Source organism: Homo sapiens, chromosome 3, assembly GCF_000001405.40.
Source record: "Homo sapiens chromosome 3, GRCh38.p14 Primary Assembly".
NCBI lineage: Eukaryota > Metazoa > Chordata > Mammalia > Primates > Hominidae > Homo > Homo sapiens.
This window is the reverse complement of record NC_000003.12, coordinates 112,626,134-112,651,544: the sequence shown is the minus strand read 5'-3', so window position 1 is coordinate 112,651,544 and position 25,411 is coordinate 112,626,134. Positions and strand designations below refer to the sequence as shown.

The 25,411-nt window shown below is 41.9% G+C and overlaps 1 protein-coding gene across 3 annotated transcripts in view; it reads left to right on the top strand.

Annotated features, from left to right (window-relative positions):
* The first annotated feature begins 10,401 nt into the window (after positions 1-10,401).
* CCDC80 (coiled-coil domain containing 80) overlaps positions 10,402-25,411 on the top strand; it is a 44,347-nt gene continuing 29,337 nt past the window's right edge. Inside the window, exons 1-3 of one of the 3 annotated variants that reach the window (NM_199512.3) lie at positions 10,402-10,621; positions 11,629-13,517; positions 21,276-21,432. In NM_199512.3, coding sequence (NP_955806.1) covers positions 11,640-13,517; positions 21,276-21,432 — 2,035 coding nt within the window. In that variant the 5' untranslated portion in view covers positions 10,402-10,621; positions 11,629-11,639. Of the gene's footprint in view, positions 13,518-21,275; positions 21,433-25,411 lie in introns of all 3 variants that reach the window. The other 2 variants (NM_199511.3, XM_047447495.1) reach the window with 2 other exon arrangements.

The window sequence follows — 25,411 nt, the reverse complement described above, 5'->3', positions numbered from 1 at the left end:
TCAGACCATCATTAGGTTTCCACTGTTACTGCCAGGATCACTACCTATGTCCCAGCTCAGGGAACTTCTAGGCCCGGGGAGCCTTGAGTTATCTTTCTGAAGTTCTCTGCTCACTTGAGAAAGCAACATCTTTTTTTACTCAATTCTCCAGATTTTATTTTTGATTTCATGCTGCATTTTAGTCCAAAAAGTTCCCAGGCCTCTTCTCCGGTGTCCTGGGCTGCTTCTCACAGCCTGAGATGGTTACACCATTCTTCACTGGTTACACCCAGTGACAGCTTTTTTCTGGCCGATCTCTTTTCAGGTCAGATGACATATAGGGTGACTGCATGTCCTGGTTTTCCTGTAACCATATCAGTTTATACCTGGTGTTCTCTTTTAATTATTAAAAGTGTTCCTCTTTCACTCTCAGAATCCTGGTTTGGATAATAATGAAAAGATTACTCAAGTTGATGTCTTCTTTGCAACCCAACAATGGAGTCAATTCTATGAATTTTTTATTACTTTCAATTGCTTTTAAACATTCTTTGTGTTTTTAAAAATGTGTGAACTTCCCCAACGTATATATCAAGGATATTAGTTATCTATTGCTACATAATAAACTACCCCCAAACTTAAAGCAGCAATAGACATTTATTATTTCACATAGTTTCTGTAAGTCAAGAATTTGGGCGCAGCATAACTGAGTGGTTCTGTCTTGGGGTCTCTCATGAGGTTGCAGTTGAGAAGTTCATTAGGGCTGTAGTTACCCGAAGCCTGGAATGGAGCTAGAGAATGTGCTTCTGAGATGGCCCACTCATGAGGCAGACAAGTCAGTGCTGGCTGTTGCCAGGAAGCCTCATTTCCTTAACACATGGAGCTCTCCAAGGAGCTACTTGAGTGTTTTCACAGGATGGCAGTTAGCTTCCCTCAGAGCAAGTTATCCAAGAAGGGAAAAACAGAAGTCACAGTGGCTTTTATGACCTATGCTCAGAAATCACACTACGTCATTTCACAGTATCTGACTGGTTACTTGGCACATATTTGAAAGGGCCATGGAGTAAAAAATATATCATTGTATTCAATGAGAAGAAAAACTATTCCTTGCAAGAATGAGATAATAGCAACACTAAGTGTGAACCTTATAGGTACAGCAATTTACAGATATGTGTGTGTATATATATATATATATATATGTATCTGTGTATATTTCTATCTGCACACACAAATATATATATATTTGCTTGTGTGTTTAGATTATATGTATATATACATATTTACAGATATGTGTATATCTGTAAACACATATATTTGTTGTATGTGTAGATAGATATAGATATAAATATAAATGTAATATATTTAAGTAATGCTGAACTTTGGGTGAGTTTAAAGAAATAAAATACAAATACCTAGGCATAGTCAGAGATTCTCACATTTATATTTAACAGTTATCAATGTTTGCTTAATCACTGAGTTTCCTTTTCTGACTAAACTAGAAAACAGTTCTCTGCTTACTCTGAAATGCTGCCTTGAATACAAAGCTTATGAGTTTGCATGTATTTGTTATACCATTCACTCATTCAATGAATTGTAATTGGGAGTTTACCATCTGCTAATCAAACTGTGCTAGATGGTGAGGACACAGTCCTTACCTTCAAATTGCTTAACATTTAGAGTAGAGGAACAGACTAGAAATGATACACATTAAAAAGTGAAACCCACAGGTTCTTATAGAGGTATAGAGAGGGGCACCAAATTCAGTTTGGTCAGGGAGAAGCCAGAAAATTATTCTAAGTGTTATGACATGACATTTGAGTAGAGTCTTGAAGGGTAAATAAAAATTAACAGGCAGATCCAGAGTGAAGAGGGAGGAGCTTTCCAGATGGAAGGAATATTATAACCATGAATGCCAAGATATGAGAGAGGAGGTATCCTAGGATTGGTGAGAGAGCTGGTCTGAAGAGTAGTCATGCAAGAGTGTAGGGAAGCCAACAAGATACAAGTGAAATAGACCGTGGGAGGGCTTGTGAGCCTCATTAAGATGCTGAAATGTAACTTGAGGGCAATAAGAAAACTGTTGAGGAATTTGCCACAGGAATGAAACACTGATATTTTAGGAAAATTATAGTGATGGCCACTGGAGGATGGATTAGAGAGGATGAGTCTGTTGGCTGGAAGACCAACTGGAACATATTGCCCTGGCTTCTGATTTCATGACAAATTGGCATGGTAATACTTAATACTTAACAGGTAAATCTCCTGTTTTTCAGTAATTTCTGTTTGTGTTAGATGCTTAGCACTTTTGTCTAACCCTTGAGTTCCTTCTGACCCTGGAATGCAGTGGTGTGATCCTAACTCACTACAGCCTCAAACTCTTGGGCTCAAGCGATCCTTCCACTTCAGCGTCCCTTGTGGCTGGAACTACAGATGCATGCCATCTATGTTGTTTTGATAGACTTTTGCCTTAGGCTGGATGTTAAGAGTTTATGACTGCTCTTGTGCAGGTATTATTTCCTCCACCATTAACTGAGTATTAGCATTGTGGTAGGCACATTTCATTCATTAAAAATAACTATTCGCAGTCAAATTCAAAGAAACAGAAAGCAGAATAGTGGTTACCAGAGGCTAAGGAAAAGGGAGAACAGGAAGTTATTGTTTAGTGGGTCACAAGTTTCAGTTTGAGATAATGGAAAAGTTCTAGAGATGGATAGTGGTGATGGTTGCACACGGTGTGAATGTAGGCTGGGCACAGTGGCTCACATCTGTAATCCCAGCACTTTGGGAGGCCGAGGCAGGTGGGTCACCTGAGGTCAGAAGTTCGAGACCAGCCTGACCAACATGGTGAAACCCCATCTCTACTAAAAATACAAAAAAATTTAGCCAGGCGTGGTGGCACATGCCTGTAATCCCAGCTACTTGGGAGGCTAAGGCAGGAGAATCACTTGAACCCAGGAGGTAGAGGTATCAGTGAGATGAGATAGCGCCACTGCTCCAGCCTAGGTGACAGAGTGAGACTCCTTCTCAAAAAAAAAAAAAAAAGAGGTTTAATTTTGATGATTTACAGTGATATGTCTTCTGTTTCTACTCTTATTATTTAGTACATAGAGGCTAAAGAGACTCCCTGGCTCAATAGCAGTGTCGAGTTTTTTTCTTCTTTTCTTTCCTTCTTTAAAGTGATAGTTCATAGTTGGGTTGCCTTCTGGGATTTTTCCGTCTTTGTTTTTAAATGTATTTGATTGACATGCACTTAAAATTTTTGCACCTTTACTATATACCAGAATGATAAGAAGGATGCAAAATAATGTAACACTAATCCATGTTCTTAGAAGCTAAAGATCTGCTTAGGAGAACACGAACTTATGCGTGAAGTACAAAAAGATCAGAGGAGTGATGCTCTACAGAATTGCTTCTCAGAGAAGAGAGAGCCATCTGGGTTGGAGCATCGGGAAACCCTGTGGAGGAGGTGATGCAGGGCCTGGACACTGATGAATAAGCTGAATCTGGACACATGTAGCAAGGACCTGTGGAGAAACGGCCAAAGAAGTAACATGGTCCCAGCTGCCGGCTACTGAAAACACTGCGTGCTCCTGCCTTTCCCCCATCACACTAGCTGTTCCTCTTTCATGTCCTTTACTCTTTTTCTTCCTCTACCAGTCCCTAAGTAATTTCTTCTAGCCTTAGGCTTTAAATCAGGGGTGTCCAATCTTTTGGCTTCTCTGGGCCACACTGGAAGAAGAGGAATTGTCTTGGGCTACATATAAAATACACTAACGATAGCTGATAAGCTAAAAAAAAAAAAAAAAAAGTAAAAAAAAATCTCTATGTTTTAAGAAAGTTTACAAATTGTGTTGGGCTACATTGAAAGCCACCCTGGGCTGCATGCAGCCCATGGGCCACGGGTTGGGCAAGCTTGCTTTAAATAGCCTCTCGAATTTATAATTCCAGCCTCAGTCCTCCTCGAAGTCCAGACTCATGTATCTAACTGCTTGCTTGACATCTGTATCAGAGTGTCTGATGGGAATTTCAAACAAAACATTTGATTCTTTCTGCCCCAAACTGCTTCTGTCAGCTCTGTTTTCAAAATATATACCACATCGAGTGACTTTTCTGCACTTACCGTGCTTCTAGCACGCTGGTTCAATAGACTGCACCTTTCACTTGTACCACTACATTATCTTCCTCACCAGTTGGTTAACTGTTGTCATTCTTGCAGCCACACTCTATTCTCCAGGCAGCATTCCTAGCATTCCTGTTAAGTCACATATCAAGCTTTGCCACATCCTTGCTTAAAATCGGCCAACATTGCTCTTCTGGAACAAGCTTGTGAAATAGCCCGGGTGTCAGTGCCTGTGCACTCACCATTCCCTCTACTCTGAATGTTCTTCCCCTCCCCCAATACTTGAGTGACTTGCTTTCCATTCTCACTTAAAATCCTTTTCTTTGGATAAGGGTATCTAAAATGGCCTCTTCCCCTTCATCAACATTTACTCCCTCCCTTTAAAAAACAAAAAACAAAAAAACAACAAAAAAAACTCTTTCAAGTACGTATGTAGGCTTAGGTATTTTGTTTTTATTTTTATTGTCTGTTTCCCACCGTTGTAATGTAAGCTCCCGGGAGTCAGGGAATGTTCATTTATGTATCCCTAGTGAGTAGAATAGTGCCTTGCATTGAGTAAATATTTGTCGAATGAATGAGCTGCCATCCTGTTGGTTCACACTTTCTGATGTAAGGTGATATTCTGAGTGATGTGGTCAAGACCTGCCATGCAAGGTCAGTACAGTGAACCGACCACTAAAGGATAGGGCAATCCTAGCAGGACAGGTGCCGGGCCGAAATTGGGACTGGGAAAATGAGATACAACACTTGTCTGCCAGACAAGAGTATCTGGGACTCTAGGGGACTCCACAGCCAAAAGGACATACCAAGCAAGATCTTATAGGTGACACACAGTTGCTGCCATGGCAAGCCTCCTTCTGTGGAAAGCCTGCTCAAGGAATTGAAGAGGCAAATTCTCCAACAGAAATGAACTCTGTGCATACTGGCTGCAGCCATAGTCAGCACTGAACTTTTACATGCAGAGAAAGTTGGCAGCACTGCTGTGGAGAGTATAATATTTATCTTCTCCAATGGGCTGTGAACTTCTAGAGGGGAGAGTCTGCTTGGTTCTGTGTCATTCCCGGTGCTCAGTCTGCATTTTTGCCAAACATTTGAGAGAAGGATTGAAAAAAAGGAGAAAAAAATTATATCATCTTTATCTTCTTGGCCATACCTAAGGGCACGGAGAAAGGTACAATTGGAATGTTCTCCTTCAGATCCAATCGATGTAAATCTTTTGTATGCATTAAATAACCAATGATAAAGACTTTAAATCCACCCCTTCCAGACCCAAGCACTAGTCCCCCAAGCAGCAAATTCATATGCCCACAAGTTCACATCTTTTACATAAAATAACAACCAATAAATAATTGAACTTTAAATCATTCACTCTGGAGATTTAAAATGAATCTTTGGGCCATTCACACAGCTCCTTAATTTCTGCTAGGGCAAGATCTTTAATTTGTACTAGCTAGGAGATGGACATTTTCTTAATTAAGCAACCTGCTACAGGGACAAAAAGGTGCCTACAAGGTTTCCCCAGCAAACTCTAAGTAATTAAAAATAAATGCATAAAGAAAGAATATTAACAACTGTTCTCAAGAGCTTTGACCATTATCCCATTAGGTAACTTTTATTTTTAAAGTACACAGTTTCCTTCAATTTTGGATTAAACATGTGACTTTGTTGACATTTCATGGACAATACTAAGTGTTTCTTTTGGGGGTTACGCTTTCTCAGAACATCCCTGTGAGAAAGGAATAATACAGGGTGGTTGGAGGAGATTAGAAAATTCCAAGCAGCAGTTTCACATGACTAGCAAAATGAAGCTTGAAATAGCTTCGGAAGCTATGGCCTAATAAGATCCTGAAAAAACAGGGATCAAGAGGGCCAGGCGTGGTGGCTCATGCCTGTAATCCCAGCACTTTGGGAGGTGGAGGTGGGCAGATCACGAGGTCAGTAGATCGAGACCATCCTGGCTAACATGGTGAAACCCCGTCTCTACTAAAAATACAAAAAAAAATTAGCTGGGTGTGGTGGCGGGCGCCTGTAGTCCCAGCTACTCGGGAGGCTGAGGCAGGAGAATGGTGTGAACCCGGGAGCAGAGGTTGCAGTGAGCCGAGATCATACCACTGCACTCCAGCCTGGGGGACAGAGCGAGGCTCTGTCTCAAAAAAAAAGAGTAAAGAAAAAGCACCCAGGCTTATGCTTACAGCTTGTCTGCTGGGGATCCTGAACGATACACTGTGGGGGCCACATCCGTGACTAGCAATGACCCTTACTGGAACTATCAACAGGACCAGGTTGATCTAAGAAAAATCATATGGTGACTTGTTTGGTGGAGGGAATGAAACAATATACCACTAAGCCCGCGAACTGTAATAAAATAAGATAAATAAGAAAAGGATGAAAACTCAGCTTTGTTTCAGGGGCACCTTTGTGGAGGACCTAAGAACATATACTAACATTGATCTCAGTACTGACGCTGGCCAAATTTTTCTACAGACACACTTTATTAGCCAGTCAGCACCTGACATAAGAAGAACATTACAGAAATTGGCTTTGGAACTCTACACACCTATTAATGAAATGTTTGGTGTGGCTTTTGGGGTATTCAATAATAGGGACAGAGCTAAAATGGCTGAAATGACCCAGAATGGCAAAAAATGGGATAGACAGCCAGCCCAAATGATTAGCAGTCACTGTAAACAGTGCCCTGCAACCTCAGGGTCACCCAGGAAGACGCTTCACCGCAGACCAAACAGGCTCAACAGCAAACCTGCAGGCAACGGTTGCTGCTCCAAGTGTGAGAAGTCAGGACACTGGAGAAAGGACTGTCCCAGCCAAGGGAGCCCACCCAGACCCTGTCCTCACTGCAAGCAGGAGGGCCATTGGAAAAGGAATTGCTCTCAGCTCTGAAGGGAGAGGAGGCCACCCAGTGCCGTAATGGCCATAACTGAGACTGAAGGGGCTTGAGGTCCCTGGCAGCTCCCATAAAAGGCATGGTCAACACAATTGAGGAGACTCTTGACGTGGCAGATTAGAATATCCTTGAATTCATTCTTTTGACAGTGTCAAGAGCCTGGACACTGGCTGGGGTCAAGGTCCCACTGGCACCTGGGAAACCCCCAGCTCACTGGTATCACCTGGGCTGCAGCAGCACCCTGCATTAATAGTCATCTTTGGCTTTCTCTCTGACCTGGCAACTTATTTATTTAGTCTGTCCTACACTGAAAATACTGAGAAAGAGAAGAATTCTTTTTTCATTCTGAAGGACACAAATGCAGCCTAAGACTGAACATTTGATTGAGTTCTGCAAATGGGAAGGAAAAACACATAGCCTCCTCAGTGTGAGTATTGTCTGTGCTTCTGCCACAAAGGTGTGATAAAATGGCTCAGCTAATTTTCTTGCTGGGGATACTGATGATCACAGAGCAGGAGAGGTGGTTTCCCTCCAAAACCACACTGAACAGCATGCTGTTATCCCCTCCTTTTCTTTTTATTCTTGTTTCTTCTTAAGCAAATGCTTTTTTATTTTAGCAATAGAATTCAGTTCAGTAACATCTCTGAGTGTTACTTTGTGCAAGAGAACCAACGGCATGTGACAGAAACCCTGGTTTCTCTAGCGTGCCTGTCACAGCGTGTTACCCTGAGCCTTGGTCCCAGGTTGCTGAAGTCTTGGATTAGTGTGGGTCTGACCAGTTAGCACACTCCTTTTTGGATGCCTTCTTACATTCACTCCAGCTTTCATCAAATAACTATCCCCACCCTAGTTTCTCTAAAGCAGTTCTAGTTTGTACATTCTTTCCTTTCCTCCCCACAAATTACTACAAAACAAATGTCAGGTAGTTTCCTATCAATTAATTCCCAAATTAGCATTTCTAAAGTCTACTTTAACATTTTCTTCCTTTCACCTTTTTCTGACTCAACATCAATGTCTTCCTTTCAGATATCACCAACCCCCACCACCCTCCCCCAACCCCTAGCACTAATTGGTTAATTGTTTCTTCAGTTGCAGAAAAATAGAAAGATCTAAATGGAGGACTTACAAAATATGGAGCTCTTAAATAACGGACTTGAAATTGAGAATTATTACAAGCCATTAATCATTATAGATCTCCCCGGAAATGAATGAATGAGAATTTATCATTGCTCTTATTAGGTACGTGCCTCCAATACTTCTTCAGGAGGATTTTCTGAAGCCCCAGGTAAGCGTTTAGGCATTGAGATGAAAACAAGCATGAGAAGCCCCACTTTGCCAGTGTGTGTGTATGTATCTGTGTGTGAGAAGAGACTGGGGGAAGGAGTTGGGTGTGGGGTGGGGACTAACGGCGGCGGTGGAGTGTTAGGTCCTCTCTGGTGTGTGTGTTTAGTGCGCCATCTGGTGACTGAAGCTCACAGAGGGAAGAAAGCCTGAGGTCCTAGGAAGACAGGCACAACCCAGGGTTGGGGTGGCTCCTCATGGTCAATTCGGGGTTGCTAAAGTGGCTGTATTTCAGCTTTACCAGCGCACAGGTGACAAATGTTGTGCACATCATGGAGAGGTTTGTGTAAGTCATGACTTATTCAAGAAAAATAATAAAGGGCTTTAAGGACCTATTGAGAAAAGCAAAAAGTACAGTTACACAATTATCCCAGACAGTAGGACTCTAAAAGTGTAAGTACTCTGGTTGAACAAATAAATGAAACTCTTCTACGAATGTGGGAAATGCAAAAAGGAATTGAAGGAAGGGAAAAAACTGAAGGTATGAGTAGAAAATTAAAGAGAGAGGCAGGATAGCATCACGCTTTGTAGGCTGTTCTAAACCTGGGTTCAAATTTCAGAGCTACTGCTTACCTTTTGTGGGACAATAGGCAATTTATTTAAACTCACCAAGCCTCAGTTTGCTCATCTATAAAATGAGGATCATTCTGTTTACTTTCTAAGGATACTGTGAGGGTTAAATAAAAGAATTCACAAAAATACTAAGCCCAAAGCTTCACATGTAAATGCTCAATAAATGGTAGTTGTTATAAGCAGAGAGAAGAGAAGAGGAAATGAAAAGCCAGAAGGGAGAAAGCTCAGTAAGGATAGTGTAGGACGCCTTAGAAAATTATGAGAAAGGAAGTAACATCTAGGACCCTCCAACTTAGCACAAGGCTAGGTTGATCAACCCAACAGGTGAATACCACGAAGGCTGCAATCTATGACTCCAGTGGACAGAGGGTCTCTGCCTGAAGCCCACTTTTGTTATTATCCTTACAAGTGTCTGAGAGAATGCCACAGCAGGGCTGGCCATCCTTCTTGGTACCCCTGGGACTTCAAGGTGTGGCCGGGCAACTCTATAGTTAACCTCTATACAGGACTTTCTCAGTTCCATGCTCGTAGCTTATGTGAAAAAAGTCAAATGTGACCAGGGCAAGATGGGGCTGATCAAGGCATAACAACTAGGGATGAAGTTTGATCCAGTGAGGGACGCTATTAGCATGACTGAGCTGGCAAGGAGGTTTCTGAGAACCCTGGCTTGTCACTGTTGGTGGCAGTTAATAGTGACATGGAGAGTCAGCTCGCCCAGCATGGCCGGAAGAAATATCCACGTAACCTGAGACCCCTTCCTTCTCCATTGAATCCTTATGGCAGACTCAGGAGGTGGAATCCCAAAGCTGCCTCACTCTCTCTTTCAGAACCTGATAAGTCTACTTCTATGGATTGCCTAAAGCCCTTCAGACATCTAAAGTCTCTGCAGAGGAAAATATTGCACTACACACACACACACAAACACACACACTCGGGACCTCCAAGGGAGCCCTTAGTCTACCATCTGCAGCCAGAGCTTTGAAGCTAGAGATCATAATGCCTGTTCCCTGATGTAACAGTCAACTGCAATCTCGACTTGCAGCCATTGCCTGCATTTCTAACCTTTTACCAGCTTCCTTCCATGCCGAGGAGAAACTAGGACCAAGAACACAGTAATATGATCCCCAATTAGCATAAAATAAAAACAACCTAGTCATGTTTTCCATGGGCTTTTCCAACCTCAAACTAAAAGCACAAAGCAGGGAGAAAGATATAAGAATATACACATGGGACTATAAATACATATATACTGTCTGTGTCAGCACAGCCAAGCACCCTGACCCAAATGAGTATCTGTCTCTAAGAAAAGAATGTAGCCTGATGCAGAAATCTGAGAATTTTCTCCTTCCAAAGTACAGTGTAAGAACAGACTGGAAGAGAAGTTACCCCGATGACTTGGTTTGGAAGGGGTTAAGGCACCAGTCATCCTCTTCTAAAGTGATTTATGATGATGTGTGGAGTTTAAAAACTTTACCCCACCCCAAAGAACAGCCTTCTCACTCCTCACTGAGTCCACTCTGAACGTGCTAAAATGGGAAGGAGGCGGTGTTTTGCTGATCTGTTAAATTCTTAGTGAAGTTTCCTTGATTTCCAGTGGCTGCTGTTGTTTGAGTTTGGTTTGGAGCAAAACTGAGGTAGTCCTAACATTTCTGGGACTGAATCCAGGCAAGAGAAAGAAGAAAAAGAAGAAGAAAAAGAGGAGGAAAAAGGTAGGGAGAAATAAAGGGAGGAGAGAAGCACAGTGAAAGAAAAAAAAAGTCCCTTTTCGACATCACATTCCTGTGTTTTCCCTCAGCCTGGAAAACATATTAATCCCAGTGCTTTTACGCCCGGAAACAAAGAGACTAAGCCAGACTATGGGGGAAAGGGAGATAAGAAGGATCCTGGAACTTTAAAGAGGGAAAGAGTGAGATTCAGAAATCGCCAGGACTGGACTTTAAGGGACGTCCTGTGTCAGCACAAGGGACTGGCACACACAGACACACGAGACCGAGGAGAAACTGCAGACAAATGGAGATACAAAGACTTAGAAGGACAGCTCCTTTCACCTCATCCTACTTGTCCAGAAGGTAAAAAGACACAGCCAGAAAGAAAAGGCATCGGCTCAGCTCTCAGATCAGGACAGGCTGTGGATCTGTGGCGGTACTCTGAAAGCTGGAGCTGCAGCACACCCCTTTTGTATTGCTCACCCTCGGTAAAGAGAGAGAGGGCTGGGAGGAAAAGTAGTTCATCTAGGAAACTGTCCTGGGAACCAAACTTCTGATTTCTTTTGCAACCCTCTGCATTCCATCTCTATGAGCCACCATGTAAGTGTGTAATCTTTTCTGTCTTTGATCTGTTTATTTGTTTCTTTATTGCTTATTTTGAAGGAATGAAATGTGAATGTTGTCATAATTAATATGCTAGTTTGCATTTTCTTTGGAGCATCCAGAGCATTAGTTGAAACAGTACAAGCATGCTGACTGGGAAACTGAATTGGATTTCCTGCTTAATGTAACTGTCTCTGTTAAACACTAACAAATTATAGGGGATTGAAAGTAACAGGATCTCATCCCATTTTCCATCTCCTGACCTCCCTCCTTCTCTCTAACCAACCTTTTCCCCTCCCCTTGGCTGAGATACAGAAAAAGAAAATGACCAGCTCTGTTTCCAGATAAATAATTTTCTTTCTTTTTTCCCCCTCCCCTTTGTTTTATGACCTCCGTGCATCGCAAAGTGGATTACACAATGACATGGAGAATGGGACCCCGTTTCACTATGCTGTTGGCCATGTGGCTAGTGTGTGGATCAGAACCCCACCCCCATGCCACTATTAGAGGCAGCCACGGAGGACGGAAAGTGCCTTTGGTTTCTCCGGACAGCAGTAGGCCAGCTCGGTTTCTGAGGCACACTGGGAGGTCTCGCGGAATTGAGAGATCCACTCTGGAGGAACCAAACCTTCAGCCTCTCCAGAGAAGGAGGAGTGTGCCCGTGTTGAGACTAGCTCGCCCAACAGAGCCGCCAGCCCGCTCGGACATCAATGGGGCCGCCGTGAGACCTGAGCAAAGACCAGCAGCCAGGGGCTCTCCGCGTGAGATGATCAGAGATGAGGGGTCCTCAGCTCGGTCAAGAATGTTGCGTTTCCCTTCGGGGTCCAGCTCTCCCAACATCCTTGCCAGCTTTGCAGGGAAGAACAGAGTATGGGTCATCTCAGCCCCTCATGCCTCGGAAGGCTACTACCGCCTCATGATGAGCCTGCTGAAGGACGATGTGTACTGTGAGCTGGCGGAGAGGCACATCCAACAGATTGTGCTCTTCCACCAGGCAGGTGAGGAAGGAGGCAAGGTGAGAAGGATCACCAGCGAGGGCCAGATCCTGGAGCAGCCCCTGGACCCTAGCCTCATCCCTAAGCTGATGAGCTTCCTGAAGCTGGAGAAGGGCAAGTTTGGCATGGTGCTGCTGAAGAAGACGCTGCAGGTGGAGGAGCGCTATCCATATCCCGTTAGGCTGGAAGCCATGTACGAGGTCATCGACCAAGGCCCCATCCGTAGGATCGAGAAGATCAGGCAGAAGGGCTTTGTCCAGAAATGTAAGGCCTCTGGTGTAGAGGGCCAGGTGGTGGCGGAGGGGAATGACGGTGGAGGGGGAGCAGGAAGGCCAAGCCTGGGCAGCGAGAAGAAGAAAGAGGACCCAAGGAGAGCACAAGTCCCACCAACCAGAGAGAGTCGGGTGAAGGTCCTGAGAAAACTGGCCGCCACTGCACCAGCTTTGCCCCAACCTCCCTCAACCCCCAGAGCCACCACCCTTCCTCCTGCCCCAGCCACAACAGTGACTCGGTCCACGTCCCGGGCGGTAACAGTTGCTGCAAGACCTATGACCACCACTGCCTTTCCCACCACGCAGAGGCCCTGGACCCCCTCACCCTCCCACAGGCCCCCTACAACCACTGAGGTGATCACTGCCAGGAGACCCTCAGTTTCAGAGAATCTTTACCCTCCATCCCGGAAGGATCAGCACAGGGAGAGGCCACAGACAACCAGGAGGCCCAGCAAGGCCACCAGCTTGGAGAGCTTCACAAATGCCCCTCCCACCACCATCTCAGAACCCAGCACAAGGGCTGCTGGCCCAGGCCGTTTCCGGGACAACCGCATGGACAGGCGGGAACATGGCCACCGAGACCCAAATGTGGTGCCAGGTCCTCCCAAGCCAGCAAAGGAGAAACCTCCCAAAAAGAAGGCCCAGGACAAAATTCTTAGTAATGAGTATGAGGAGAAGTATGACCTCAGCCGGCCTACTGCCTCTCAGCTGGAGGACGAGCTGCAGGTGGGGAATGTTCCCCTTAAAAAAGCAAAGGAGTCTAAAAAGCATGAAAAGCTTGAGAAACCAGAGAAGGAGAAGAAAAAAAAGATGAAGAATGAGAACGCAGACAAGTTACTTAAGAGTGAAAAGCAAATGAAGAAGTCTGAGAAAAAGAGCAAGCAAGAGAAAGAGAAGAGCAAGAAGAAAAAAGGAGGTAAAACAGAACAGGATGGCTATCAGAAACCCACCAACAAACACTTCACGCAGAGTCCCAAGAAGTCAGTGGCCGACCTGCTGGGGTCCTTTGAAGGCAAACGAAGACTCCTTGTAAGTAGCCTTCTCCTTGGCATTCTTCTATGGGCTGAGGCAGGGCATGTTAACGTCTGTCTTGTTAGTTTTGTAAAAATCATATTGCTAGATGCCAGACTGTGACTGAACCTGTACTGTGTCAAGAAGCTCAGAAGTCTGGCAAAAGAGGGCAGCAGGCCAGTAGCTCCTTCTGGTTTAGTGACCTATGAAGTTCTGCTCACACAACTCATGGCCCTGTGGTACAAAGTCAGTGGCTGGGGACCCTACACATGAGCCCAGGAGAGCACCTGTAGTCAGCTTCCTCTAGACCTGTAGGGACCCTTCCCCCATTTCTACCACTCTCTTCCAAGGGATATTTCTGGACAAAGCTCTCTTTTACCAAGTCCAAAGGATGAAAAGAAAGATGAAATTCCTAAAAGGGAGTGCATTGACTTCAGTTACATCTTAGTAAAAGGGTTTCTCTCTGTCTGACTTAGGAACTAGAATCATGTCTATGGGACAATAGCAGAGGTCCCCTCTTTCACTAATTAGCTCTATATCAACATTGGAGTGCTCCAAGAGGAAAGTAAGACAGCCTGGGTGGGGAGTGGGTATGACTGAGAGTAGAGAAGAGTCCTTGTTGGTATGACCCTCACGGATCCTTTTAAAATGAGCTAGCAGAAATCTTCTCCCCTTAAAGCCTACCTCTCCCATTTCTATCCAGCTACTAGGAAGAGCCAAAGAGTGGAATGTGGGGAACTGGGTTAATTGCTTCAATTTCCGGTACTCTAGAGATACACCTGAATTTAAAATCTAGATGTCAGTTTCTCCGGGGGCTCTGTAAAATGTGTATGTGCATGTGCCTGTGCATCAGTGTGTGAAAAAGGAGACAAGCTGTCCCTACTTGCCCTTGGTCTGCAGTTCTTTGTGCCACTCGTGTTGAGTAAGGCACAGATTCATCTCAGCAACTCTCTGTTTTGGCCATCACTTGCCACCACCAAATGAGGGCTTCGGGCAGGAGTGAGCCAAATATAAGGGCAGTTTTTATCAGTGATGTGCAAATGGCTCCTTCTCCTCTTCTTGTCTTCTCTTTCCCTCTTTTACTGCCCCTCCAAAATTTCCACCCCTGGATCTTAAGACTAGCTTTTTACTCCAGGCTGTCAAGGAGGAAAAGGATATTGTTACCATTAATTCTGAGTAAAAGATCAATAAATTGATGTTGGGTAATGTGAGTCAGGAATGATTTTCTCAGATGCCTGGGTGAGAGAATCAACTCATGCCATTGAGGGCAGCACCCATCCTCTTGAAGGCACAAGGTAACTGCACACCCTGCATTTCCCCCACCAAAAGAGACAGACACTCTTTTCTCAAGGCATTTTTTAGAGGATCTTTTAGGTTTTCCAAGCTAGCCTAAATTTCGGTTAATAATCTGGGCAGAGGAACTCTGGTGCCCATTTATCGTGTGTTGTTTCAGAAAGTTTAAATGTGCATTTGAAATATTACTCAGAGCAAAGTTCTTTGTGATGTTTATCATGAGTGGGACATATCCCAAATTTTCTTAGCTGTTTACATTGATAGTAGGTCTGTGTATTAGAGTAAAACCTAGCTCTGGTTGATTCTAAGGATTTGTGTGTATGTCTGTGTGTGTTTTGTTATATATTTTCTGTATATTGGTGGAATATCTAACCAGAGCCTTAATGTGTCTATATAAACTTGGGTTATCAGGTCGCTTGGATATTCTCAGAGTACATATATTTAAATGGGAATGTTCCCATTAGAACAAAAAAGAAATCAGATTTCAGAGTAAAACTCTACCTGATACTTGAATGTCTGTTAGGGAGCCTGTGGGGGCAAACTGCTCTCTCTGGGGCATGGGAAAGAATTAGTGGTTTGCTCCAGTGCTCTCCTCCTGAGTACCTACAACTTTGTCCAGCCCACTAAAGTACATCACCCAACTCTGTTCATTTAGCCAACAGGGCAGGCAAAATGTTCCTCATGGTCAGGTTTTAAAAACAAAATCATGGGTAAAATGTCAGGATTGTAATTGTGCACCCTTCTGGCAAATATTTCCCATTGCCGCTAGTTTGTGAGTCAAAAAAGGGGGTTTTCACAGTGTATCCCTGATATTAGTCATACTTTTCATTTCTCCCTCCTTCTCCCCACTCCCTTAGTGGGAGATGTGAAAGCCCAGCTGGGCCAATCCTGCTTTTAACAGTATCCCTGCTTATAAATTTCTAGCAAATGAAACTCAAATGACAGCTTCTGCTGATGTCATGTGAGGCAAAACAGAAACCAGCTGGAATTGCTCCTGGCAGTGTTGGTTCTTTGGCCTAGTGAGAGAACCAGGTTTGTTATTAGAAACAAAATACTAACAGAAGGCTTTTCAGACTTTTGATCCTATGTGCGCCCAACTGATGATCATATCAGAAATGTGTCTTCTGCAGAGCTAATGATATCTAAAGTAAGAATGTATTAGAAAAGACCAAATGAAATAGACATGATACCAAAGCAAAAGATGGAGAGAAAAGAATTTTTCGCCAGAGAGGAGACCAATGGGTGAAAAACATTGTTGGTGCTGTTTAGCCTTTTCCACTCACTTTTCCCATCAAACTTGGCTAATGTTACTCAGGAAGCTCAGTGATTCAATTACTATTCATTAAGGCTTAGTGCTCTCAAGCTGTTTAAGTATGGCTGAGAACAACTACCTCCAACTGGCCTTAACTTAACCCAGTATACTCAGACTGAAAGCAGGTTTACATTCCAAGAAATTGTGCAGGACTTTCAGCTCATCTTCTCAGCTTTTCAGTAACCTGGTACTTAACTGCCATTTATTGTAAACCCTTAGTGCTTTGTCTTTATTTATAGCATTCTTTAGATGTGGACGTATCACATAACTGCTACTTAACAATTACAGAAACACTAACAGCAATGATGTGGGTTACAGGCTGATGGCTTCCTATAGGCCTTCACAGGAGCTGCAGGTGGAGCCAGGTGTCCTATTTTTAGATTAGTGTTCACTCTTTCAAACCTCCTGCCTCTAAACCTGTTGACGAAGAAGGGCACATCCTGCAAGGTACTTTGCCAAGACTGTGTGGTTTAATTCTCAAAACAATCCCTCAAGGAATGATTTATTTACCCCTTTCTACACATGAGAAAACAGAACCTGAAGTTACCCAAGATATATAGCTAATATGTGGTGAAGTCGGAATTAGAATTCAGATCTGTTTGAGTTGAAAACTCAAATTCAGGCCAATCTCCCTTTCTGAATTCTTTTGGGTATGAACTTCCTGTGGGATATGCCATAAAGTGAAGGGGAAACTGAGGAATGATCTTGCCAGTTAATAAACATGAATTTAAAAAATTAATACATATGAATACAAATACATTTAAAAATTCATTGTCAACCTTGAGTCACCCAGATAAGTGGTAAATGATTGCTAAGCACAAATGTGGAGTTTCTGCCTTTAATACGCAGCTAGTCCTCTGCACTCAATTCTCTGGCTTTCCAAACAGTCAGTCAAAAACAATAGATTGGATTCCAGTTAACCTAATTCTTCAGTCTGCTTGGTGTCAGTTTGAGGTTGACGATAGTGAGACTATAGGTAAGCTTATCACCAAAACATTGTACTATGGGGAGTATAGCTGAGAAGCCATCATTCTGCGCTCTGAGATCTAGTCACTTGTCAATTAACAAGGGACCTCAAATGCTGAATTCAATGAATTCAAGTGCAAATTTAAGAATTCTTTGGTGACTGAATCTCCTGTAATTCAAGTGGGTTCATATTTCCAACTTTACTTCAGACATCTGTGTATTAGGACAACCATCTACTTATTTGGTTTAATTTTAGGAAAGAATTTAAGGTTTCCTGCTGTACTAAGGCAGACTATTAGCTTGAAAGTTATTTTTCAGAATCCTGTAAAAAAAAATCTAGCATTTTGAGCCTAACGCAGTATTTTGAATAATCTGAGACTTAAAGTGTCTTCCCTCTAGCTTTTTTCCATTGCTCTTTGCTCTCTTTACTTATGCAAACAGGCTTCCTTATCCTCTGAGGCTCATTGAGCCAACACACCAGTTGGAACAGAAGCCATGAAAAAGAAATACAACACAGGTCTAAATTCATGATACATGCCCTGATTTATTGCCATCAAACTGGAAAGAGGCCAAGTGACAGAAAATAGTGTTTACTGAGGAGCTTTAAGCTGCTCTTTTTAGGAAGAGGGGACTGGAAATGGTTCTCATTTTAAACACTGTCTGAAATACAGCCCAACTAGAAAGTGAATGGGATGGAGATGTCAAAACATAGGGAAAGAGTCCCTGAAATGGGTTCAGATGGTCAGTCTTCTCTATTTTCTCTGTTGCAAACTTGAGGAGCAGATTAAATGTAAGGGAGAGTGTTTTCACCAACTGGTAAAGTCGTAGCCTGCATCTAGACATTCACAACAACCAGGGGACCCCTTTATTCCTGAGTCCCTCTCCTCTCCTCTGACTAGGGTGATCTATATAACCGGAGGAGTGTTGGCCAGCATTTATGCCCCCACCATCTGCAGGACAGTAATAGAGTCTGAGGAACTTACATTCTGCCTGGGGAGATGTGACAGTTATATAGTAAATGAAGGAAATGCTTAAATTCCAAGTGGGCGAGGCAGACAAAAAGAACAGTAATTAAAAGGAGGAAGTGATCCCTGCATGCTAGAAAAGACTTTAAGGAGGATAATGCATTGAAAGAAAGAATGAGATTTAGAGAAGGGCGGGGGCAGGTTTCTGAGGTAGAAGGAGTGACTTGGGCAAAGACAGAGGAAGGATTGTGGGTGAATTATTCAGAGGTGACATACCTGTATGTGCTTGGGGGACACATATTTATTTATTAAGAATAAATCAATCTGTAATAAGTTCATGTTATGATCTTATAAAGATATACAGATATATTTACTTTTGCTCAGATCTCACAACGTGATGAGGTTGGCAGGAAAGTTGATTCATTATAACAATGACAATGCTGAGCTTCAGAAGATTAAGTGGATTTATTTAGGCTACAAGCTAGCCAGGAGCTGAACTAGGACCGAAATGACAGCCCCCTGACTTTGACTGCAATTATTCTTTCTCTATGCCTCTCTGCCCAAGATTCCTTTCATTTCCTAATTTAGACTGGGTCTGGCTCTAGGGGGTAAAGAGGTCAGGTAAGGGAGGTATAGGAGGACATTAGCAAAAGAGAGCCCGGGGCCAGAACGTGGAGGGCCGGAAGTTAGAGAATGAGTCCTGCAAAACGAATGTCACCCCACTGGTGGTTAAAGGCATTCTTGGGCAAAGGGTCTGCAGTGAAAATAAACATCAGAGGCACTTATTTATTTAAATGAGATTCCCACTGGGTATCCATGGCCTCATGCCACTGTGTATAGAGCTATGTGGGAGAACCTACCACACAGGGGAGGATAAGGTTCTGTGTGATTACATACTGTCTGATATCCTTAATATACACAAGGGGGAGAAGACTAGAGGAGGGTTGAGGACTCTTAAAATCCTGTCATACCGTGATCTGTCCACAGATTGTAAGGGTCTATGGCAAAGTATGGTATGAATGAAATGGAATCTATGTATGAATTTGAAGTTACAGAAACAGATAATTTTCTGTCATCTAACATCTAAGCAGCTTTGCCCTAGAAACTCCTCTAAATATATTCTAAATATGGCTTATCCTTAATTTAGAATAGGGAGTCCAAAACCATGAACAGTAAGTCCCTTTCTCTTACCTTTGTTTTTACTGTTTTGTGTTTTTACTTAAACATTCATTTTATTTATTTCAGAATAGTGTGGTTTTGAGCACAAAACAGTCAGAAAAAAAGACCTAAAATATACCAACTTAAAATAAAACTTTGGTATCTGCGCTCCCATCAAGATCTGAAGAAATATTTTCAGATGCCATAAAGCTAATTAAAAACAAACCAAGCAACTAAAAATACCATCACCACATCTTTTTATAGCTGCCTTTAATCTTGTTTTAAGGCTAATGTGAATCAATGAATAAATTTGGAGAAATTTTGTTTTTCCCCTTAAAAAATTATGTTCCTAAAACAAGCATTTCCTACCCAGAATGTCCGTATGAGCAGGCATAGAAACACATGAAAAATAAACTAAAGCATGTCTATTTAAAATTAATTATGATCTGAAAAACAAAACAAAACAAAACAAAAACTTCATCCCAGAAAACCTTTGTTAACGTTCCATTCAAAGGCTATTGAACACGTTTAATTTCCTTGAGGGAGAGTATTTTGTCATGCGGGGAGAATTCTTAGAAGGGAAAGCCTGCAGGTAGCAATACAGACATCTCTGACAGAGAAAAATAAACAGCAGGATCAAGCTGAGACCAGATTTATTAACCATTTTTGATAAAATATTTGGAAGAGGTACACAGCCTGGTGATTTGCCCTCTGAAAAATGCCAAGGTAATAGTCATAAATATCGGAAATAGTTTATAAGTTTAGGCGGATAAATAGAAAGTTGGTTGATACATTTGAATGTAGTCAAATGCAAGAAAATTGGCTGATAAATTTGTATTTAGTCAAATGCAAAAAGTTGTTTACAGAAAAATGATTTATAGAGGTTTGCTTCTGAGCTTAGTGATGATGCAACAAAGGGCAAATAGACAGCGTTCATTGCAGACATCAGCCTGGTGATCTATTTGGGATCAAGGATCTCAACAAAGACCTGGTCATCATCACAATAAAATTTCACATCCTCCCACCTCCAAGGTAAGCAGCATTATGCCCACTAGCTTGTGGGATGTGGAACAGAGTTCTAGCTTCAGCTCAAGGATTGAGTAAAATTGGTAAAATTGGAGAAGGCTCAGGGAAGGGCAGCTAAATTAATCAAGAGAGTAGAGAAGCTTTTGTATTAGGTTAGATAAAAATAGTGAGACGTTCTCAGAGAAAAGATTCAAGAGGACCTCTTAAAAGTAGGGTTATCCTTACTGTATCCAAAATAAATTACATTTTCTCAGATTTCTGGTGACTAAAGTATTTCTTTTGATTGCTTTGTCTTTCCTCTTTTTTTTTTCCCCCAGAAGACAGGGGTCATAGGATGAGGATGAAAGACAGAGGGCTAGGTGAAAAATACCAGGTCTGAACCAAAGAGAGGGCTAAACTTAGAGTAAAAAACATCCTGTTGGAAAACTGCAATATCAAAAGACAAACACCACCAACTCTGTGCAGGCTGAATGTGACAGTGAATATATTCTATGTGACAAAACGTAGGCCTAAAAGTCATCATAAAACCTTTCTGCAAGGTTTTCTAATAAGAGTTCTAAATCACAGAATGTTTCGTAGTGCCCAGGGCCTGGCTATGAAACTCTCTTAACCCTGTGAAATGTGAATAATAGTAGTAACCACTGTATTAACCAATATCTAATCAGCCAGTGAGAATAATGAAGATCAAAATTAGGGAAGGAAAATAACATTTATTGAACAATTATTGCATGCCAAGTATTCATGTAATGTTCACAGCAGCCTTGCAAAATAAATATTCCTTTGCAGAGTTCACAAATAAGAAAAGTGAGACATGTGGAGGCTAGTAATGGAGGTAAATAATGGAAGTGAGTAGAAAACTCCAAGCTGTCTTGGAGACAAAAAGAGGCCTTTTCAAATGGCCCTTTTTGGTCCTAATTATGCTAACTGTTCAGCAGAACATTTGTAGCTTAGATGCAGTCACTACCAGCCCTCTCTTCCAAATCATCTCTTTGGGTTTTGCTTCAGTGTGAAACTATCACTATAAATGAGTATTTGTTTGTCTTCACCCACCTCCAGCTGATCACTGCTCCCAAGGCTGAGAACAATATGTATGTGCAACAACGTGATGAATATCTGGAAAGTTTCTGCAAGATGGCTACCAGGAAAATCTCTGTGATCACCATCTTCGGCCCTGTCAACAACAGCACCATGAAAATCGACCACTTTCAGCTAGGTTCTCTTAAACATTTTAATTATATTATTGTTTTTCTCATATCTAAGGTGGGACAAACTTTATGGTAGAGGTACATGGGGGATCCAAAAGAAAATGAAGATGTTCAGAGGGCTCTTTGGTTGTGATAACACAGGTCAGTTTGCCTGCTTATTTAAATAGCCATTCCAGGATGGTTCTCGTTTAAGTTTTAAGCACTGTAAAAAAGAAAAATACGCAAACACTCTATTGTCTGAAAGTCAGTAAGGTGGAAGAAAATGGGAAAAGTAACACAGTGTGGGAGAGAATCAGAGAGGCATTCAGACACTTTTTCTGGGTACTGAGTCTTCTCGCCTGTGAGCAGCCCCGTCTGATCTTCCTGCAGACTCTCCGCTGCAGGTGACTCATCACAGATGGGACTTGCCAGACTCTCGGAAGTACTTGACTCTGGCAAGCCTGAGGAAGGAATTAACCAGAACTGAGAGAAGCTGTTAAGATAAATGAAAAGTCACTGAAAATATGGACTGAACTGCACCCAAGTCCTTTTGGAGAGTAGAAGAATTTGGCTGAATTTAGAGTTTTCGCAATTTTACATATGAATGGTGCATGTGAGACTCATGAGGCGTACAGCCCAGTGTTGGACAGCTGAGATCTAACTCATTGCAGTTCTCCTGGGAACGTTGCAAGATTTACTGTGATTAGTTAAGCCTCATAGTCAGAAGCCCAAAATATGACCCACCCAGTTTATTTCATAATTATTGCATCTCTAGGGCTTTATTTTTTAAAAAGCTTTTTTTCTTATATGCACTTTCTACTGTTTTGTTGTTGTTCATGGTTTAACTACAAAAAAAAAAAACCTTAGAGTAATCCTTTATATTCCATCGTTTGCATATTCTGCATAGTTTCCGTAAAATATATTTCATCTAAAAGCACTTGAAAGAATATAAAATATATTTAGTAATATATAACTAATTATTTGTTAGTCAACATTTAACTTCAATACACATAACATTATCACACAGATTTTTCTGACATACGATCTTGGTGTAATTGAAGACATACTAGTTATATTATGTCACGATAATGTCAACTTGATTTGAATATGGTCTAGCCTTCTAAATCATATTTTTTTTATTGTGGTAAGTACACTTAACGTGAAATCTTCCCTCTTAATACATTTTTAAGTGCACAATACAGTATTGATAACTATAGGTACAATATTGTACGGCAGATCTCTAGAGCTGATTCAGGGTAAAGTATCAGTTATGCATTCTCTACTTTAAATAGCCCACCTTCCTCTGAGGTGGCTACAAAAGAAAAATAAATAGCATCTTTTCCAATGTCCCATCATAAATTATTGTGGATTGATGATTTATTTTTAGACATTTATCCTGCACTGTGTGTATAATTTAGGGGGAGAACAAGCAAAAAAGGAATTTTCTTAACCAAAACAACAATAATGATCATACAAACAAAAGACACAAAATGAATTCTGGAGACAGACAGATTTAAATCCAGGGTCACAATTTACTTGTTGTGTGACCTTGGGCAAGCTACTCCTAAGTCTTAGTTTAGAAGATAATCATATCTATTTCACAGGATTAAATAAGATAGTATACAGAAATGCCAGTCAGGTAATAGGCACTATTATGTGGTCATCCTCTGCATCACCATTTGATCTGGTAGTCATCTGGAAATCAATGAGCTGTCACACTTGTCACTAGAGCACCTATAATGGCAAAATACTTGTTATTGCTTTGTGCTGATTACAGAATGTTGACACAAGAACCCTCACAACAGCTCATCCAGATCAGGCTGCATTATTATTCTTGGTGATAAAACTGAAGCCCAAGAGACTAATACTACAAAGCCACGTATTTATTGGCTAACTAGGATTCAACCATTTGTTTCCTGGATTTTTCAAATAATAGCATGAGGGCAGTGAGCTTAATTACACTCCAGATGTCCAGAAAGGAAGTAAGTATTCAATCCAGCACAAAGACTGGTGCTGGCTAGTGATGAAAGCCCTCACAAACCAGGTGTTCCCAGTGTCAAATGTGTTACCTACCAACACTTTCACAAAGTGTTCTCATTCCTTATTTCAGAGAAGCTTGGAAAAATCATTACATCTTCCACCTCAACTTCTATATGGTCCCATTATAAGCATCTGGTACTGCCTTGGCAAATTTTTAGCATAATCCTACTGTTTTCTAGACATCTGGATTGAATATGAACTGTAGAGGGGCTGTGGGTCTTTTTTTTTTTTTTTTCTGCCTTATTGGAAATCAGGTATTATGATTTGGGCATTTTCCTCACTGAATGGTAGCCGGGACCTGATTTTGGGGTGGGAGATCTTTTATTTTGTTTCTCATCTAATTCCTGGAAGGCCTCTCTTTCCTTGTGTCATGTCCCAGTTTACCCTTATGGGAAAGGCTGTAGCACTGTGAGCCAAGACTGGGAGTCGGCCATGGGATAAAAAGAATTGGCATGAGCCATGGGCTCAGTGAACCAAAAAACTCCAGCCTTGACTGACTTTCAGCTGGAAATCTATCAGATGGCCTTACTTTTCCTTAAAAATAAATCAAGCTCTGCCTACTATTCCAGACTTTTACTGGGCCTTGAAAGCAGGGGCACACATCCAACTACAGTGTGGGCCGTACTCACCAGCTGGTCCATCTTGCTAAAAGTATTTGGACATCACTGATGAACCTACAAACGCCAAGAAACTTACCTTAAGATTTTAGGCTTTCATGTAAATAAAGTTATTTATGCTTGAGCAAATTCCAATGCCTATCTGGTTTTGTCAGCACAGAGTATATTGCATGTGGGGTTTAAAATGGCCTAACACATAAAGGCATTCTTTCTTGTTAGTGATATCTAAAATGTCAGTCTAGGATAGGAATGTTGGGTGTGTATGTTTAGTGAATGGATTACAGACAAATTTTGTCAGATAGGAAAAAGTTGCTGGCTAAAGGCACTTCATTGCAGAATGAAAAAAGAAGTGGGGGGAAATGCACAGCAAGCATGTTTCTTTCTTAGCAATATTTAGAGATGAAAAATATTTTAACATTGGCATTTTATCACCAAATTTTAAGAGCTAGAATACACAGGACATTTAATAGGGCAAGGGAAGTTTTTTGATAACTTCTTTCAAAGAAAGGAGAGTTTGAGGGTAATCAAGAGAGGTAGCAAAGTTCATGGAGGTGGAATATGGCAACAAGGAGAGAGAAAATGTTGATTTCTTACTATCTAATGACTTCATAAGTCAATTTTTAAAATGAGAATGGTACGCCAGGTGCAGTGGCTCATGCTTGTAATCCCAATACTTTGGGAGGCCGACGTAGGCTGATCACTTGAGGCCAGGAGTTTGGGAACAGCCTGGCCAATATGGTGAAATCCCATCTCTACTAAAAATACAAAAATTAGCTGGGCATGGTGGCAGATGCCTGTAATTCCAGCTATTTGGGGGGTTGAGGCAGGAGAATTTCTTGAACCTGGGAGGCAGAGGTTGCAGTGAGCCAAGATTATGCCAGTACACTCTAACCTGGGTGACAAAGTGACACTCTGTCTCAAAATAAATAGATAAATAAATCAATAAATAAACAAAATGAGAATGATAGTATACAAATCAGTCTAAAATACCCTTTCTGTCTGATCCTGTTGAAGAGAATTGTTCTTTCTAGAGAAACCTCAGTCATCAGGATCCACAACAATTCAAAAATGCTGCTTTGCCTCTGGGGCAGTCCTGAAAAATAGACCCTTTTCCCCCAACTTCTCCTTTCATCAGTGGTGACAGTGCCTGGCAGCTGCCTTCTCTAGACCCTGCAACACTGAGCTGGGAGGAGAGGCAGGATGAGTGCTCAGACTTCCACACAGTGGCTGTGTGTCCCCCTCTGCTTTGATAAGTCTTTACTTATCAATCATTCTGTGCCCTAGAGACTAGAGAGCCTGTCTCCTAACCTACTCAGTCTTCTTAGTCCACTGCCCTTGCTGCCTCCAACAT